The sequence below is a fragment of the Homo sapiens genome, chromosome 12, assembly GCF_000001405.40.
Source record: "Homo sapiens chromosome 12, GRCh38.p14 Primary Assembly".
NCBI lineage: Eukaryota > Metazoa > Chordata > Mammalia > Primates > Hominidae > Homo > Homo sapiens.
The window spans coordinates 128,753,302-128,773,476 of NC_000012.12; the positions used below are offsets into that span (position 1 = coordinate 128,753,302).

At 46.9% G+C, this 20,175-nt stretch overlaps 1 annotated feature.

Moving 5' to 3' along the window:
- Window positions 565-1,764: an enhancer, noted in NCBI's record as "CDK7 strongly-dependent group 2 enhancer chr12:129238411-129239610 (GRCh37/hg19 assembly coordinates)". NCBI's record gives its function as "activates an origin of replication core promoter dependent on BRD2, BRD4, P300/CBP, MED14 and CDK7 cofactors, with strong dependence on CDK7, by STARR-seq in HCT116 cells {active_cell/tissue: HCT116}" and the evidence as "EXISTENCE:reporter gene assay evidence [ECO:0000049][PMID:35650434]".

Sequence of the window (20,175 nt, forward strand, 5' to 3'; positions counted from 1 at the left end):
TCCCACCCAGGACCCTGGAATTAAAGTAAATGCACGGGTAGTCAGTAGGGAGTGAGGCCTCCCCCGTCCCTGTTAACACACATCGAGAGGGAATGGAGCTGGGGAAACCTTTCCCACCTAAAGCAAAACCAGTTTCTTTACCAAGTAAGAAAACTTCCTTTGTCTTCCATTGTCAATTTTGTCAATTTTGCCAGAAGCAAAAAGAAGAATTTTTTTGTTGTTGGTATGCAACAGCAAAAAGAACATTGCTTTGCAAAAGCCTGGAATCAAAATATGTGAAGCTGGGGAAAGAAGCAGTTGTCCCCGTGGCTTCATGAAAGTGCAGAGAGCTGGTGGAGCTGGACTGAGCTGGATTTGAGTCCCTGGCCTGCCCCCTGTGGCAACGAGACATGCCCTGGCCCAGACAAGCTTTTAACTCAGTGCCTGTTCAGGTTCTTTGGTCATTCGACATTGTTTTTAATAGGAGGAGGGAAACAAACTGATTTTCCTATTCATTCATTCATTCATCCACCCATTCATTCATTCGAGAAGCATTCTATGTGCAAAGTTCAGTTCTAGGCAAGGTAGAAGCTGCAATTAATAAAACAAGCAAACTCCTGAAGTCATGGATCTTCAATTTTACTAGAGAAAGATAGAGAATAAGGAAGCAAATAAATAACTGATACTACCCATAAAAAGTTATGAGGCTATGCTGCAATGTGGAAGAAATTTGAAAGCATTACACTAAGTGAAAGAAGCTAGTCGCCAAAAAAAAAAAAAAAAAAACCCACATATTGAATGACACCATTTATATGAACCGCCAAAGACATGCAAATCCAGAGAGACAGAAAGTAGATTCATGGTTTTCAGGGACTGGGAAGGGAGAAACAGGGAGTGGCTGTTCATAGGCACTGAGCTTCCTTCTTGGGTGATGAAAATGGTTCTAAAATTGATGAATTGGTGAAATAGATGAGCTGTGATGTCTGAGTTATGTCTGGATGAAGCTGTTGAGCAAGAGTTAGGATGGTAGCTGTGTAAGTTATCACTGGGTCACCTGCTGTCCCAAGGTGTAGTGACTCGGCAACACATGCTCATTATTGATCCTGAGAATATGGGTCAGTTGGGTGGCTCGGTGGATCTTGGCTGGTTGCTCACAGTCCAGTCATCTGGAGAGATGGCTGAGTAACCCAGGATGGGCTCACTCACATGCCTGCTGGGTGACTTGCTGTCTGCTGGGGCAAATGGGGTTACTAGGTCCATGTGTCATTGTCCCCAGGCCAGTCTGGGCTTGTTCATATGACAACCCCCAGAGTCTGAGAAATGTCAGCGGTGTGTAAGGTTTCTGGAGGCCTCAGAACAGACACAGCATCACTTCTGCCCCCTCCTCTAGGACAAAGCAAGTCACAAGGCCAGCTCTGAGACAAGAGGTGTAGATTATTTTTCAACACCTTTATTAAGATGTTGTATTAGTCCTTTCTCACACTGCTCTAAGGGCATACCTGAGACTGGGTAATTTATAAAGGAAAGAGATTTACTTGACTTACAGTTCTGCAGGGATGGGGAGACCTCAGGAAGTTTACAACCATGACAGAAGGGGAAGAAAACATGTCCTTCTTCACATGGTGGCGGCAAAGAGAAGTGCAGAGTGAAGTTGAGGGAGCATCCCTTATAAAACCATCAGATCTCCTGAGAACTCACTCACTATCATGAGAACAGGATGGGGGAAACTGCCCCCATGAGTAAATTATCTCCACCTGGTCCCTCCCACAACACGTGGGGATTATGGGAACTACAATTCAAGATGAGATTTGGGTGGGGACATAAACTATATCAGGTGTAATTCACATACCACCTATTTCCCTCATTTAAGGAATACAATTCAACAGATTTTAGTAAATTGAGTGTTATGCATACACCACCGCAGTCAACTTGGGAACTTTCTCATTATCCCCAAAGAAACCCTTCACCTCTAGTCATTACCCCCAAACTCCCCAATCCCCCCGGCTCTCCCCCACAGACCTTGGCAACCACAAATCTCCTTTCTGTCTCTATGGATTTGCATATTCTGGACATTTCACATAAGCGGAATCATAGAATAGGAGGCCCTTTGTGTCTGGCTTTCTTCACTCTTAGCATGATGTTCTCAAGGTGCATCCATACTGTGGTATGTATCAATGCTTCCTTCTTTTTAGGGCTATGTGTAATATCCCATTGTAGGGATGCCTCACATTTAAGAGGTGCATAGTTTTGAAATAGGCTCCACGTGTTTATGAAGGAGCTGCAAAGTCATATTGCAAGGAGCGTGGATACAGAAAGGGGGAGAATTGAGGCCATTTTGGCAAACAGTCTACCCAGCAGCATCAGTTCATTTATTGCTTTTTGCTTGCATTGATTTTGTTACAGGTGATAATGTTCCCAGTCCCAGGTAATGAATCATGATTGGACCAAGCCAAGCAAGGCTGTCTCATTCCTTTTGCCAATGACTCATCCAGAGGAAACATGTGACACAGTTCTGGCCAATGATGAGTAAGGAGAGTCTTCCAGCATCTCTGAGAAAGCATTTCTTCCCTCGTAGAGAAAGAGCTGCACCTTTTGTCTCCTTTTTGAAGGGTTTTCGAGGGTCATTTTGACCATGCATGATTTTTGCTTTATGCACCATCTATACAGCTATCACTGTGTGTACCGAGTTGAAAAGTGAGTGCCTCAAAAGACTCAGACCCTCAGAATGTGACCTTATGTGGAAACAGGATCTTCACAGTTATAATCATGTTAGGATAAAGTCCTCCTAGATTAGGGTGCTTCCTAATCCAATGACTGGTGCTCTTCTAAGAAGACAGAAAAACAGGCTGGGTGCGGGGACTCATACCTGTGATCCCAGCACTGTGGGAGGCTAAGGCAGGAGGATGGCTTGAGCCCAGGAATTCGAGACCATCCTGGGCAACATAGTGAAACATCATCTCTACAAAAATGTTTGAAATTATTAGAGTGTAATCGTGCGTGCTTGTGGTCCTAGCTACTCAGGAGGCTGAGATGGGAGGATTGTTTAACCCTAGGAGGTCAAGGCTACAGTGAGCCATGTTCATGCCACTGCACTCCAACAGCCTGGGCAACAGAGCGAGACCCTGTCTCAACAGAAAAAAAAAAAAAAGATTCTAAAAAAAAGAAAGAAAAAGAAGAGAGAAACAGACACAGAAATACCTGGGAGAATGGGAGAACATCACATGAAGACAGAGCAGGGATTGGAGTGATGTGTCTACAAGCCAAGGGAAACTGGCCTGCCAACACCTGGATTTCTAACTTGCGGCCTCCAGAACGGTGAGGAAATACGTTTCTGATGTTTTACAGCACACAGGGTGCTTTGTTACAGCAGCCCTAGGAAACTAATCCACCATGTTATTCCATTATTTAAGAAATAGGCCGGGTGCAGTGGCTCACGCGTGTAATCCCAGCACTTTGGGGAATCGAGGTGGGTGGATCACTGGAGGTCAGCAGTTCGAGACAATCCTGACCAACATGGTGAAACCCCATCTCTACTAAAAATACAAAAATTAGCTGGGTGTGGTGATGGGCACCTGTAGTCCCAGCTACTCAGGAGGCTGAGTCAGGAGAATAACTTGAACCTGGGAGGCGGAGGTTGCAGTAAGCCAAGATTGTGCCACCGCATTCCAGCCTGGACAACAGAGCGAGACTCCATCTAGAAAAAAAAAAGGAGAAGGAAGGAAGGAAGGAAGGAAGGAAGAAAGAAAGAAAGAAAGAAAGAAAGAAAGAAAGAAAGAAAGAAAGAAAGAAGGAAGGAAGGGAGAAGGGAGAAAGAAGAAAGAAGGAAGAAAGGAAAAGAAAAGAAAGAAAGTCAGATTCTTTAACAACAAAGCCCAAGACTGGTCTTCAGGGAAGGAGGCAGCTTGTTAATGAGCCAGCCTGGGGACCAGGGTGCAGAGAGACAAAGCCTCCAGAGAGGGGAAGGAGGGGGAAGCCAGAGGGAAGGACCACAGACAGGGCTTTGGAGAAAGTCCAGGATTAAACCCTGCTGACCACAGGCTCAATACCCCTCCTGTCCCCACAGGCCACAGCCCCCTCTCAGCTTGACTCCCCTGACATGGGTCATCATGTTTCTCCACCTGCAAATGAGTGACCTTCATCATGATGGCTTAAAAATAAAAGCAGCCAGCTTGCGCCACTCTCCTCACAGAGCTGAGCCTTTTTATTGTAGGACAGAAAATATATGATTTCTCATTTTACAGGATTATGGGCCATTGATGCCCGCTTTCCATATGTTAGGAGCATATAAAAATTTTTGAGGGATGAAAGTGAATAACTTGAGGTCTGCACACAATAAAGTAATGTTCTTTTTTATTATAAAGCAGTTTGGTTTGAGATGACAAAAAGATGCTGTTAATATTTGGGTGGGCTGCATTTTTATTCCTTTGGTCAAGGACAATGAAAGACTTACTGGGACTCGGGAAGGTCATTCAACTGCCTTCCCCTGAGGCTTTGTAGCAACTCAAGTAAGAAGCTGGATGAAATGTTCCAGGGCATGATAAGACCCTGAGGTTTGTCCTCAAGCTTCCTACTTAGTTAGTTTGTGCACACGAATGTGTGCGCACACACAGACACATACACATGCATGCACACACTCACATGAACACATGTGCATACACAGGCATACACACATGGACACACGAGCACGGTAAGAGACACACATAGACACATATGCATGCACACACACTTATACACATGAACACACAGAAACACACATAGACACATCCATACAATGCACTTAGGAACACACATCCACACACACACAGATACACACACAGCTTCCTCTCCCCACCACACCTCCCCAGGTCTCACAAAATAGATGTGATCAGTCTGCAGGGATACGGCATTCCACCTTGGGTCTATTACCATGGACTACAGCTAAAATTTGGACTCCCTGGGACCCAATGCTGTTTTTCTATTGATCGTGTGGACTTCTTAATGAAAGGCTCAAATCAGATGAAATCCCTAGATCCTAACAAATAATAATACTGTTCCCACCTTGCCTTCCTTCCTGGGGTCCTGTCCTCTAGGAAACTGTGGCAGGCCAAGGACCCTGGCCATGTGGGTGGGGTCTGTGGAGGACAAAGCATTAGGGAAAGGCAGCTATTGCCTAAGCCCGTGGGTACTGGGGAGGCTGCCCCCCAATCCCCCCACAGAGAAGGCACCTGTTCCACCTCCCAGCAGGGCAGTCAGGCTGGAGATAGATTCCTTCAGCTTCGTAGGGCAATTAATGACAGCTCGTGACTGCTTTTCCTTATCCATCAGGATCTCTTCTGCCATGGTAGGGCTCTTAACATACTTGGCCCTTTTTTTTTTTCAGATGAAATTAAATAAAATAATATTAACCATTTTAAAGTGAACAATTCAGCGGCACTTGGGACATTCACAGTAGTGTGCAATCACCACCTCTGCCTGGTTTCAAAACCTTTTCATTACCTCATGAAGCAGTCTCTCCCCATTCCCTCACCCCTGGCAACCGCCAATCTAATTCCCGTCTCTGCGGATTTAATGCTTCTGGATGGTCCAAGTAAATGAAGTCATATAGCATGTATCCTTTTCTGACTGGCTTCTTTCCCTCAGGTTAAAGTTTTCAAGGCTCATCCACGTTGTAGCTCATGTCGATCATTCATTCTTTTTCATGGCCGAGTAATATTGCACTGTACGGACCTGTCACGTTTTGTTTATTCATTCAACCATTGATGGACATTTGGGCTGTTTTCACCTTTTTGACTATCATGAATAGAGCTGCTATGAATATTCATGTACGAGTTTTTATGTGAACATTTGTTTTCCATATTTTGGTGGGGAGGGAATCTGGGAGTAAAATTCTAGGTCAAAGTATAGTTTTGTTCAGTTTTTTGAGGATCTGCTAAACTGTTTTGGTCTTTTTTAATTTAAAACTTTTTTATTTATTTTTATTTACTTTATTTATTTATTTATTTGAGATGGAGCCTCGCTCTGTCATCCAGGCTGAAGTGCAGTGATGTGATCTCGGCTCACTGCTACATCCACCTCCCGGGTTCAAATGATCCTCATGCCTCAGCCCTCCAAATAGCTGGGATTACTGGTGGCTGCCACCATGCCTGGCTAATTTTTATATTTTTAGTAGAGACGGGGTTTCACCATGTTGTCCAGTCTGGTCTTGAACTCCTGGCCTCAAGTGATCCACCTGCCTTGGCCTCCCAAAGTGCTGGTGTGAGCCACTGCACCCAGCTAATTTAAATTTCTTTATAGTTAAATATAACACAAATACAGAATGCCAAAAAATTGATAAATTGTTAATTTATTATTAAATTAACAATTATATAAATTATAATTTATTAATAATTAACCATGTATATAAATTATAAATAATAGATTATTATAAGATGAATACCCTGGCAACTACTGCCATACCACTCACACAGAAACCCTCTTTGTGCACCCACACACACAGTTATTCTACCTGCCCCTAAGAGTAGCCATCATCCTTATTTTTATACATCTTTTAAAAAATAAACACTGTAACTTCGTAATCTTCTCATTGTTGAACATAAAGTTGATTTTATTCAATAGCTGCCTACCATTACATTATGTGGCTGAGCCATCGCCTCTTTGACCAGTTTCTGTAGTTAAACATTGGGGTTGTGTCTGGTGCTTTGCTGTGACCTTCAGGTAACTCTCCAGCCCTCTAAGAGCTTTATTCTTCTGTGAAATGAGGGATGGGGGATGTGAGGGTTAGCATCTGGCCACCTGTAAAGCACCCTGAAAATATAGGTTCTAGGGCTAAACCCGATCAAACCCTAGGTGCTCAGGGAACACACGTGCTGGACAGCCACAGCGGTCACTCCACCCCCTTTTTGCTTACAGCATGACGAACACTGCTTTCACTCATTGGTGCTCTATGGCCCCTCCCGTTGAATCCTGGTGTGACCCAGTGACTGCTCCAGACAACAGGGTATGGCAAAAGTGATGCCATGTGACTTCCTAGTGCAGGTTCTGGAAATAATACAGCTCCAAGCTGGCTCCCTCTTTGGATAATACTTGCTCTGCAGGATGACAGCTGCTTCGCCATGGTTTAAGGACATGCAAACTTGTCCACACGGAGAGACCCACACAGAGGGAGACTCGCACAGAGAGAGACCCACATAAAGAGACCCCATGGGGAGACCCCAGGAGTGCCCCTGAGGCTCACAGCCAGCAGCCAGCTTTAACCTTTAGATGCATAAGTGAGGGACCCTTTAGATGCATAAGTGAGGGACCCTTCAGAGGATTGCAGCCGCCCATCTTCGGATCTTCCAGGTGAGGCTTCAGCCATCCATGGAGCAGAGACAAGCAGTCCCCACTGTGTCCTCTCCAAATTCCTGAGTGAAGAAATCTGTGAGCATAACCAATGGTTGTTTGATGCCACTTTGTGTGGTAATCCGTTGTGCAGCCACAGTAACTAGAATAGTCAGATTTTTTTAAGGAAGTACACTCCAGACAATCTATACAAGATGTTGTTATTCTGTGTGGTATAAAGAGGGTTTTTTGTTTGTTTGTTTGTTTGTTTGTTTGTTTTTTGAGACAGAGTCTCACTCTGTTGCCCAGGCTGGAGTGCAATGGCATGATCTCAGCTCACTGCCACCTCTGCCTCCTGGTTTCAAGCAATTCTCCTGCCTCAGCCTCCCAAGTAGCTGGGATTACAGGCACACACCACCATGTCCAGCTCATTTTTGTGTGTGTGAGTTGTTAGTAGAGACAAAGTTTCACCATGTTGGCCAGGCTGGTCTTAAACTCCCAACCTCAAGTGATCCACCCACCTCAGCCTCCCAAAGTGCTGGGATTACAGGTGTGAGCCACCGCACCCAGAAAAAAAAAAAATCATTTAAAGAGTTGCTTCTTGAGACTTCTTGGGAGAAGATGGAAAATAGATTCCAACAACTGCTTTCAAGAAGTTTTCAGCCAAGAAAAACAAAAACAACATATAAATGTCTCCTTTCAATTTGTCAAAAGTGGGTGATTCCATACCAGGCAAGTACAGAGGGGAGTCCCCTCCAACAAGGAGAAGCACATTCAGAATTCCTGCATTATCCTCCAGCTCCAAGTGGCTCGAACAGTAGGAAAAATGCATTGCTGTCTAGGAAAGAAGACCTGAAGTTTGCAGGATTCCTGACTCAGCCAGCCAGCAATGCCACTGAGGAAGCAGCCCTTCCCTCTTTCTGCTCTGCTGCTGTTCGAGCATGGATTCCCCTCTGGAATCTCCCTTCCTGGTCTCAGGATGGCAGCCAAGGTCTCAGGCATCACTGATGGGTCTGACTGAAAGGAGGGACTGTTCATTCCTCTGCTTCACTCTTTAAAAAAAAATAGGAGCATTTCTCAGGTGCCTCCAAGCAGCCTCATGTGTCCCCCTTCGGCTGGAATCATTTCACACTCTACTTCCTCAACCTGTCCCTGGTGATTAAAATGAGATTCCTATGACTGGCTTAGGGAAGCACATGACTCCGGAGAGGGGGCTGAGCATTAATCCAGTAACATTAAGATTCCTTTAGAAAGGAGTTGGCTGTTTGCAGAGATTTCTTTTCTTTTCTTTTCTTTTCTTTCTTTTTTGAGACAGCGTCTAGCTCTGTTGCCTGGGCTGGAGTGCAGTGGTGTGATCTCAGCTCACTGCCCCCTCCGCCTCCTGGGCTCAAGGGATTCTCCTTCCTCAGCCTCCCGAGTAGCTGGGATTATAGGCGCCCGCCACCACGCCCAGCTAATTTTTGTATTTTTAGTAGACACGGGGTTTTGCCATGTTGGCCAGGCTGATCTCCAACTCCTGACCTCAGGTGATCCACCCACCTCAGCCTCCCAATATGTTGGGGTTACAGGCGTGAGCCACCCCACACAGCCACAGTGATTTTAGGTGGGTTCCTTCAGGAGCTGTGAGGAGAGATGAGAGAAGGCTTCATGCAGGTGGTAGCTGAGCTGGTCCCTGAATAATGAGCCTAATGCAGATGAAAGGTCCTGGGAGAACTATTTAGTGGTGAGTTCTGTTGACACTGTTAAGGCTAAAAACTCCTAAACCTTTCTTCCCCACTTGCGGCCTCCAATAGTTTTTCCTGACCGACATCTCAAGATGTTTGCCTGTGGTCAGCATTTTACCAACCTTGATCAGATGTCCACAGACTACTGCACTGTTTAACTTAAGTACCCAAACAGTGACACTTTCTTATCTATGAACGTCTTTAGCAGGACTGGGGACTGTGTGAATCTGATTGAATTGTCCATCAGCCTTGAGCTTAACCTTAGCAGTAACAACCAGCTCCCAGGGAGAGAAATCGATCAAGAGATAATTAAGGATCATGTAGTATTGGAAAAATAATTATTGGGGGAGGAGGGCCCCAGACAGTAGTTCTCAGAAGTGACAGTGGCCAAGTAACTCATCGGCAAACAAAGAGCAGAAGGTTGCTCCCTGGGAAGAAAGAAAATGATGCGGTAATGACAATGGAAGAAATTAGACATTGGAAATGGAGTTGTCATTGTCATGGGAAAGAAATCGCCCCTCTTCACCGATGCGCTGGAAACCTCAGGGCTTCCCCCGCTGTAAGAATAGTAGAGTGGGGTTGGCCTAAGAGAGGGTTGAATTTAGAAATAGCTGGTATTTGGAGGAAAAGAAAATCCACTGTATGCTAAGTGCATTTCACATGGAATCCAGATAGCAGCTGAGCCCCACTGTCCTTCAGAGAAAAAGATTAAATTCGACCTCAATCCTATTTTATTTTATTTAGTTATTTAGAGATGGAGTTTTGCTCTTGTCGCCCAGGCTGGCGTGCAGTGGTGCAATCTCAGCTCACTGCAATCTCCACCTCCTGGGTTCAAGCGATTCTCCTGCCCTAGCCTCCTGAGTAGCTGCCTGCCACCACACCCGGCTAATTTTGTTGTTGTTGTTGTTTTATTTTTAATAGAGATGGGGTTTTGCCATGTTGGCCAGGCTGGTCTCGAACCCTTGACCTCAGGTGATCCGCCCACCTCAGCCCCCTAAAGTGCTGGGATTACAGGCGTGCGCCACTGCACCCAGCCCTATTTTATAACCGTAAAATTTTACCCACACTTTTTGTAAGTTCCCCATGTTTTGCTCTCGTGTGGTGTGTCCATGTTGGATACTTGGGGTATACCCTGATACCCCAGACATTTGAAACTCTGGCCCTTTGCTAGAGAAACCCATTCAAGGTGAACCCCTTGGATTTCACAGATGTTGCTGAATATGATGAAGAACACCAGGAGGGGCCGCTCGTAGAGCACAGGCGAGAACAGACTATGCTGTGGGGGTGAACCCCTGACCTTGGAGTCTTCAGGCGGCTCACACTCTCACGCAGTGCAAGACAGGAAGTCCTGCTTATGGCTGCGCTGTATAGAGCATGTGGTCTCCACAATCATCACAGCAGAATGTGAGTGTGGTCAGCTCGCGATGGCCCCCAGGGATGTTGTCCTCTAAGTCCTGGAACCTGCAGACAGGTTACCTTACATGGAAAAAAAAAAGGGGGGCTTTGCAGGTGTGATTGGGTTAATGGACAATGTTGGTGAGATTATCCTGCATTATCCAAGGCAAGGGACGCGGGAGGACCTAGTCACAAGGGAACTCACACATGGGAGGCAGAGAGATGAACGGCACAGCAGAGAGTCAGAGAGGAGATGGAGCGTGGAAGCAGAGGTGGCATGAGCCCGGGAATGCCGGCAGCTGCTAGAAGCTGGAAGAGGGAATGACAGAGCCTCCTCTGGAACCTCCAGGAGAAACCAGCCCTGCTGACATCATGGCTTTTGTCCTGTGCGTTAGTTTCCTAGGGCTGCCAGAACAAATTATCACAAACTGAGCGGCTTAAATGACAGAAGTCCGTGGCCTCATGGTTCCAGAGGCCAGAAGCCCAAAATCAAGGCTTCGCTGAGGCGTGATCCAGCTTCTCAGCATCTTCCCTTTCCCCACTCAGGATAGCTGGAAACGGTCGCTCCTCCTCCTAAACAGGGAAGAAATGCAGAGAAAGCTCCAAGCAGAGGGAAATCCCACCCAAAAGGAAATGTGTGATTCAGACCCACGAAGTGGCGAGGGCTGTGTTGACACTTGGTGCCTCAGTTTCCCCTCTGAAAATGTGTATTATAATAACAGGCTGTATCTCATGGGGTTGACAGGAGGATTCAGTGAGTTAGCCCATGGTAAAGGGTTTAGTGCCTGGTGAGCATCCAACAAGCAAGTGCTTTGATCGTCTGCATAGGGATGTTATTTGGAGCATCCCTGTGTGGCCAGTGCTGGGCTGGGCACTGCGGGGACAGACGTGAGCAGAGCCAGACTCTGCCCTCAGGCTTCTCGCCCTCCAGGTTAGGGGAGGAGGTAGAACCACCACCGCACCTCCACACGAGCTGCCCATGCCTGGCTTGAGGCTCAGCCAGGGCTTATCCTGGAGAGTTCTGTAGAAATGAACCCCAGGCCGGGAGGGATGTCTCACGCCTGTAATCCCTGCACTTTGGAAGGCTGAGGCAGGCAGATCACCTGAGGTCAGGAGTTCGAGACCAGCCTGGGCAACATCGTGAAACCTTGTCTCTACCAAAAAATACAAAAATTAGCCGGGTGTGGTCACGCACGCCTGTAGTCCCAGCTACTCGGGAGGCTGAGGCACAAGAATCACTTGAACCCAGGGGGCAGAGGTTGTAGTGAGCCGAGATCGCACCACTGCACTCCAGCCTGGGCGACAGAGTGAGATTCCATCTCAAAAAAAAAAAAAAAAAAAAGGAAGAAAGAAAGAAACCCCCAACCAGGAGAAGCAAGTGGCCGATGCCACAGCAAGCGGTGGTTTAAAGCTTGAGTGATGGTTTCAATCATTTCTCACTTTAGCTAACCTCATCTTGCAAATCCTCAGTGTACAACCAACCTGAAGAATCTGATTTGGGCAGAAATAACTCCATTTCAAAGATGTTTGGGATTCAGGCTCTGAAGGCAGCAGAGCTGTGGCTCTGGATGTGCCCAGATGCCACTCTGTGGGCTGCCACCTTCAGTGGAGGAGGGGGCAGGGCTGGCAGACAGGGCCCAGGTGAACCAGTGAATACATATGCGTGCAAGTGTCACCCGCCCCTTGCTGTGTGTCCCCGGACAGGCCACTCAGACTCCCAGAGGCTTAGTGCTTCCTCCTGTAAAGTGGGCCCCTGGTGGGACCCATTCCATGCTGCTGTTGCAGGATTTACAGAAGATCCCTGACATGGAGTAAACTCAGCAGAGTCGCTGTTATTGGGTGGAAGTGTCAAGGAGAAGGGGGCTTGGCTGAGCATTCCAGAAGTACAACAGTCCATGTGCATAGCGTGAGAGGTTGTGGCTGCCGTAAGACAGGGCACTGTGAGCTCTAAAAGAAAGGCCGGGGCTTATGGGCTGCCTTGACCTCCGGGGAAACTGCGGGGGAAATGGCCTAACTGCAAGCCCCCTTTCCCACTCTGCTCCCACAGATCAGGCCCCCCAGCCACTCCACCCTCCTTACCATGGACACCAGGCACGATGCCTGCCCGTCCCTTAGCCCTGGGCTTTGTTCCGTTCCCTGCCCCCATGGAATTACGGAAACAATGACACCCTCCTGTGGGAACCAGGGGACCCACACCTTCTTGTCACTATAGAGCTGGCCCCCAATCCCTGCCGGCACAGTCTGCTTCCAACGACAACCTCCATGTGGCCCCATGTGGCATGTGATGCCCTCTCGCCTGCGGGGAGTACAAGTGGCCAACAAACCATTGTTTATCTCATCCATCTTGTGCCAGGTGTCACGTTTGCTATCCTTATACCCAAGGGTGGCAGTTCCCTCACCCATGGGGTGAATAGCAGGTGATCAAAGGAGACAGGAATGGGATCTAGGTTCACATGAACCTGGGTCTGCACCCTAGCCCTGCTACCAGCTGCATGTCCCTGAGCAAGTCACCCACCTTCTCAGAACCTCAGTTTCCCCATCCTTAATGTGGAGAAAATAATGCCCAAGCCTTATGACAGGAATACACATGCACTAATCCATGCATAACCACGCAGGAGAGGCATGGAACCACACACACTACATGGAATGGAACACTTAAAATGGGTTATATGTAGATTACATCTCAGTAAAGTTGATTTTACAAAAACACACAGAAAGAGCTGGGTGCGGTGGCATGTACTTGTAATCCCAGCCACTAGAAAGGCCAGGGTGGGAGGATCACTTGAGCCCAGGATTTCAAGACCAGCCTGGGCAATATAGTGAGACCCTGTCTCCAAATACAAGCAGAGAAGATGAGTCCTTCTACAGGTGATGGCTGGGTGTGGAATCCCTCTCTCTCTCTAGTGCCTAAGGAAATCTGCTCTGGAATCTGACGGCTCAGTTCAAAACCCGGGCTGCCCCCTCATCAGCTTTGCTACCTTCAGAAAGCTGCTGCACCCACCTGTGCCTCAGTTTCTCTATCCCTAACTAGGGGATATTAACAAGTCTTTTCCCATTGGGCTGCTATGAGGATGAGACGAGACGACACGCCAAGTGCTTTCCACGGCGCTGGGAACACACGGGTTTTGTAAATAACCGCAAGCTCACAACATCTCCCTCTGAGGGATGCCCAAGCCCCCCATGCTCCCCAAGCCTTCAGCCAGAAAAGGGGGACACTGTGCTCAAGGTGCCCCACCTTCCTGAGGGCTCCTGCCTGAACATCTTGTTTTAACAACTATGTGGTGAGCTCCTACTGTGTGCACGGCACGAGGGGAGAGGAAAGAAGCGGTGAGCAGAGACAAGCACTGCTCCAGAAGGTCCAGTGGGGTGGGGTGGAGCACGGAGATGACAGTTAATTAGAAAGAAAGCTGGGGGTGGGAGGGATGAAGGGAAAGGAAAGAACAAAAGAAAAAGGGAAAAGATGAAGGAAAGAAAAACAAAGGGAAGAGAGAGCAAGAGAAAAGAGAGAGGGAATGGATAGAGAGAAGGAAATAAAGAAAAGAAAGATAAAGAAATAGGGGAAGGAAGGAAAGAAGGAAGAAGAGAGGGAGAAGGAATGAAGAGAGAGGGATAAAAGAGAAAGAGAACAGAAAGAAAAGGAAAGAAAGGGAAAGGAAAGGAAAGGAGAAAGGAGGGAGAGAGGCAGGCAGGGGGGAGGGAGGGAGGAAGGAAAGGGAAGAGAATGAGTTGCTTTGTGTTAGAGGCAAGGTCTTTCATGAAATTCTGAGCAGGGCTCAGGAGGGAGCCTAGAGTTTGCGGGTGGGTCTCAGACTAAAAGATTAACCTGCTCCAAGGTGTACAATCTTATTTGAGTGTGGACCTCTGTCTCCAGATTGAAATCATCAAAGCTGTCTTCACCACAGCAATAATCTGTTTACAAACCTGTAGACATGTCCCTCGGCTCAGAATTCATTAAAGAGCAGTGGTTCTGCTGACACGGGCCGCCCCCCGGGATGCAGCGGCCAGTCTCAGAATGAGAGGGATGGCTCCGTCTCCACCTCACCCCAGACTCTCCCCACCGCCCCGCGCTGCCTCAACTAAATCAAACCACTACTTTTCTCTGGTTGTCTTCTCAAGATGGGGAATCTGCCACTAACAGCTGTGCTTGCAAACCAGCTTTCTTTGGAAGAAACTAAGATGGATAGCTGTAAACTGGTTGTAAAATTGCTTAGCCACAGAGAGGGCTGAAGCAAAGCCGTGTGTCCAGGATGCATCCAGATCACTGAAAGAAAGACCAGGCCATGGGGAGTCCCAGGAAGAATAAATTCGTGAAGTGAAAAGAAAGAAATGCCTCTCTTCGTTTGTTTTTCTAATATTTCTTTTCAATTTGTCGAATACAAACAGTTCGGCTTTTGCAAGACAGACAATTTTCTCCTTCTTCCCGAGTTTCCTCCTGGGCTTCTAATGTAAGGATGTCTAACTCCGGGACAGAAAGCAAGGAAGGAAGCACCCGTTCTCTCCCCGCCCTCCTCACGCGCCCTCTGCGGAGGACTCCCCTGCGGCTGCTTGGGTAAATGGGTCTGAGCTGCAGAGCCGTACTACTCTGACGAGGGTCTGTCAGAGAATTCCATTTGAGGGAAGGAAGTAGGAAGCCCACTTGGCCATGGACTACCTTCCTAAGTCCACACTCTCAAATCCACCAGTAGGGTGAAACGGTCGCTAAATTAACAAATCCTATCACACCTTATGTGCTATGTGCAAGGTGGTAAGTGCTATGGAGAAAAATCAGGGAAAAAAAAGCAGCTAGCTTCAGTGCAGGGACAAAGAGGTTGCATTTTTTTTCTTTTTCTTCGTCTTTGTTTCTTTTTAAACAGAGACAAGGTCTTGCTCTGACCCCCAGGCTGGAGTACAGTGGTGTGATCATAGCTCACTGCAGCTTTGACCTCCGGGCTCAGGCCATCCTCCTACCACAGCTCCTGAGTAGGGGAGACTACAGGTGTGCACCACCGCATCCAGCTATTTTTTAAATTTTGGGTAGAGATGGGGTTCTCACTTAGTTGCCCAGGCTGGTCTCAAACTCCTGGGCTCCAATAATCCTCCCACCTCAGTCTCCTGAGTAGCTGGGACTACAGGTGCATGCCAGCGCACCTGGCTAATTTGTACATTTTGTATACAGATGGGCTCTGACTATGTTGCCCAGAACTCCTGGGCTCAGGTGATCCTCCCACTTTGGCCTCCCAAAGTGCTGGAACTGCAGGAGTGAGCTGCCGCACTCGGCCATCGCAGTGCTTCCTGCACATGTGCCATCCGAGGTGGAGGAAACGTGACATGGAACGGACACTGGTGATGCTTGCCACCGTCAGTGTCTTCTCCTTCCTCATTGTCTCAGTCACCTGTTGCTGCATAACAAATCATCCCAAACTTCAGTGGCCTCAGACAACCATTTAATATGATCATATCTCATGTGTCTGTAGGTCAGTCCTTCAAACAAGGCCCCGCTGAGATGGCTTAGACGGTGGGGGCAGAACCTGCTGGGTCTAACCGAGCATCTCCCACTCCCTCAGCTTCCTTACAACATGGCAACCACAGAGCAGTTGGGCTTATTCTATGGAGGTTTAGGGCTCCAACAAGGTCAAGCCAGGGGCTGTCTTTCCTGTTCATGCTGAACTCAGAAAAAGCAGTGCCTTCCTTCCACTGTACCCCACTGGTCAACACAAACACAGGCCAGCCCAGACCCAAGGTGAAGGGAGACAGTTCCCTTGCAATGGAAGTGTCAAAAGATTTGCCACCATCTTTCATCTGCCACACATGCATACAAATAGATGGCACGTTCTGGCTCCCTTGCAATGAGGTGTGGCCATGGGGCTGAGCTTCATCTCATAAAAGTGATAGGGCCAGTACGCTTCCTTGCAGAATTCTATTTATTTATTTATTTATTTATTTATTTATTTTTGAGACAAGGTGTCACTCTGTCACTCAGGCTGGAGTGCAGTGGCATGATTATGGCTCCCTGCAGCTTCCACCCGCCAAACTGAAGCCATCATCTCACCTCAGCCTCTATGAACTCCTGGGCTCAAGCCATATACTCACCTCAGCCTCCTGAAGTGCTGGGATTACAAGTTTGCCTCTGTCCTCCCAACACTTACCACATCCCCTTTCCTCACTAAACCACATTGGCCTTCTTTGTATCCTTCAAACAGACCTGATAGAAGATCTTTGTTCTTCTATCTGCCTGGTGGACTCTTCCCCCAAGGAAGGGCAAATGGGGGCCTGTTTTGTGGGTTCTAGACATTTCTCAGCTCCCATTCCCCTCTCCTCTGAAGCTTCCCCAAATCTAAGGGAGTCGCTCCTCCACTACCATCGTGGCGCCTTTTTAGGCTCCCATGCAGCACTAATCTCTCTGTGACATTGTCTCGTTTTACCTCTTTCCTGGTTCATTGTCTCTCCAGCTCCCCTCCCTCAGCCGCCAACTAGATTTTAAGCTCCATGAAAGCAGAATTGGAAACTGTGTTCTTTCCCGCACCTTCCACAGTGCCTGGCATATCACAAGAGCTGGACAAATATTTATTGAATGAATAAAGGTTATGCAAATTTATCTGCGCTCAAATGTCTTCTTTGGTTTCCTGAAATGGATACTCCTGACCCCTAGCATTGTGTATAAACAATAGAGGTTACAATATCCACATCATATAGTCGTAAGAGTTAAACACACTCTTGCCTGTAAAAGTCTTGCACCAATGAGGTACTCACGAATGCTGGCAGCCCTGCTGCAGCCCGTCCTCTGTCAGCACTGGAGGTTTTGTGTGTATGTTGCTTTGTCACTTCTCTGAGAGCAACTTTGCCTGCTGAGGCTTTTCCTCTGATTATTCAATTTTCTTCCCAATTTATTCAAAGCCACCTGAATGGTAAAGGCTGGTCCCAGAGGTGTATAAGCCCCTCATGCGTATTTGAAATTTGTCCAGCCTCATCTCCCAGGCTTTGGTACCTCTGTGAATTGCCAGTCTGACAAAGAAGTCCTCCAGATGAAGCACATTCTCTCTCTGTCTCTCTGTTTTCACTCAATGCACTTCAACAAAATATTTGCTCTCTTTTCCAGGAGCTTCCTTAGTCTGAAGTGATTGGAAAGAAGGTTGTTCTAGCATCTACTGCTTCTAGAGAGAGTCAATATTTAGGCTAGACGAAAACAAAATACAACAACGCAGCCACAATGCACCCACTGCTCTGGGGAGAGGGAACATCGCTTTGCTGGACCGAAACATTCTGGTGCTGGAGAGAGGCAAGTCGCTGGCAGGAACTTTAAGGCCTGAAGCAGCCCAGGACCTGCAGTCAAAGTCTTGGCCTGATTTTTAAAAAGGGAAAAAAGGCCGAGCACGGGGGCTCACACCTGTCATCCCAGCACTCTGGGAGGCTGAGGCGGGCAGATCACTTGAGGTCAGGAGTTCAAGACCAGCCTGGCCAACATGGTGAAACTCCATCCCTGAAAAAAATTAGCCGGGTGTGGTGGTGAGTGCCTGTAGTCCCAGCAACATGCGGGTCTGTCCATGTTGCCCAGGCTTGCTTCGATTAAAAGCACGAGCCACTGTGCCCACCTTAGATATATTTCTATACAGCTTCAGTTAGGCCAGTGGCCTGTGATCCCAGGATGTGGGAGAATTGCTTGAGCCCAGGAGTTCAAGACCAGCCTGGCAACATGGAGAGACCCCCGTCTCTACAAAAATTTTTTTTAAAAAGTAGCTGGGCACTGTAATCCCAGCTACTCGGGAAGCTGAGGCAGGAGAATGGCGTGAACCTGGGAGGCGGAGCTTGCAGTGAGCCGAGATTGCACCACTGCACTCCAGCCTGGGCGACAGAGCAAGACTCCGTCTCAAAAAAAAAAAAAAAAAATAGCTGGGCATGGCAGCGTGCACCTGTAGTCCCAGCTACTCAGGAGGCTGAGTCAAGAGGATTGTCAGAGCCCAGTAGTTCAAGGTTGCAGTGAGCCATGATTGCACCACTTTACCCCAGCCTGGGTGAGAAAGAGACCCTGTCTCAAAAAATAAAATGTTTCAGTTAGATAGGAGGATAGGAGGAATAAGTTCAAGAGATCTGCTGTACAACATGTGACTAGAGTTAACAATGTATTATATTCTTGAAAACTACTGAGAGATTTTGTGTTCTCACCACAAAAATGCTAAGTACGTGAAGTCAAGGTCATGCATATGTTAATTGCCCAATTTGCCAGTGACTGAAGACTCCGATTCCATTTCACAATGTTTACATATTTCAAAACATCATGTTGTTACACAATAACTATATACAATGTTTGTTCTTTGAAATTAATTATGTTACAAACCCTTACAGAGGAGATCTTAGTTGGTTTGATTGAGGTGCATACACGGTTCATAATTGTGTCCAATCGAGTTGCAATGGTCTAGCAAGTAAAAGCTGTGACAGACCGACTTCTAAGGTGGACCGCAATGGCTCCCACTCCCCGTGTCCACACCCTTGTACCATTCACTCCTCTTGATTATGGGCTGGATGGAGTGACTTGCTTCTAATAATCAAATCTAGCAAAAGTGATGGGATATGACTTCTGAAGTCGGTTACAGTCAGTCTCTGGCTTCCATGTTGCACAGGCTCTCTCACTACTTCTTGGGGTATCTCTTTCCAATCTCTCGCTCTGGGGAAAGCAAGCCGCCATGTTGTGAATACCCTATGGAGGAGTCGGAGTCTTCAGTCACCGGCCAGCGAGACTGTGTGTCCTACCAACAGCTCTGTGAGTGAGCTTGAAAGCGGATCCTCCCCGCCACTGAACCTGGTGGCAGACTCAGCCAACAACATCTCGATTGCCACCTATGAGAGACGCTAAGCCAGAGAACCCAGCTGAGCTCTCTGGATTCCTGACCCACAGAAACTGTGATATAATGAATGCCTATTGTTTTAAGCTGCTAAATTTGGGAGTAATTTGTTACACAATAATAGATAACAAATAGAAAGCTCTAGCCATAAAAGATATATTTCTCTTCTAAAGATATATATATATTTTAAAACAATATTTTACTTTATTAATAGAGATGAGGCCTCACTATGTTGCCCAGGCTGATCACAAACTCCTAGGCTCAAGTGATCTTCCTGCCTTGGCCTCCCAAAGTGCTGGGATTACAAGCATGAGCCACTGTGGCCAGCTTAGATATATTTCTATACACGCAGAATAAGTGGGCCGCAAAATGTTTCAATAAAGTTGAGGTGGATACAAAAAAATTGTCAAAACAGTGATCAGTTTCTGTTTGGTGCTATGATTCAATCAGGTTTGAGAAGTATTTGAGTCTTTGAAGAGCTACTTTGTAAATCCACCTAAGTGTCCTACAATGATAGAGAACTGTTTTGTAAAAGCTTGAGATTAGAATTGCATTCTGCTCACAATCAGATGGAAATCTTTCATCAGAGTATTCAGACAATGACACATCACAAACCTTAGCTTTTTGGAGCTTTTAGCAAATAACAATCCTTGAGAAAAAAAAAAAAAAGCTGCAAAGCAAAAAAACATTGAATTTTATCCCTGTGGAAGGACGGGAGGAACAAAACAAATTGAATGATAAGAGTGTAAAACTGCAGCGAGATCTCATTTTGAAATCATGGGATTGTGTTTTGAAATATCCTGACCTGGAGGAAGAATCTTTTGAAAGAGTTCCTATATTTAATTAGATAAATTTCTATTCTGTGTCAGAATGAAGTATAAATGAGAAAGCTTACCATTCAGAAGCTGGATCTAAATTTGGTAAAATGTATCAAGAAACCTTAAATAGAGGTAATTTGTTTG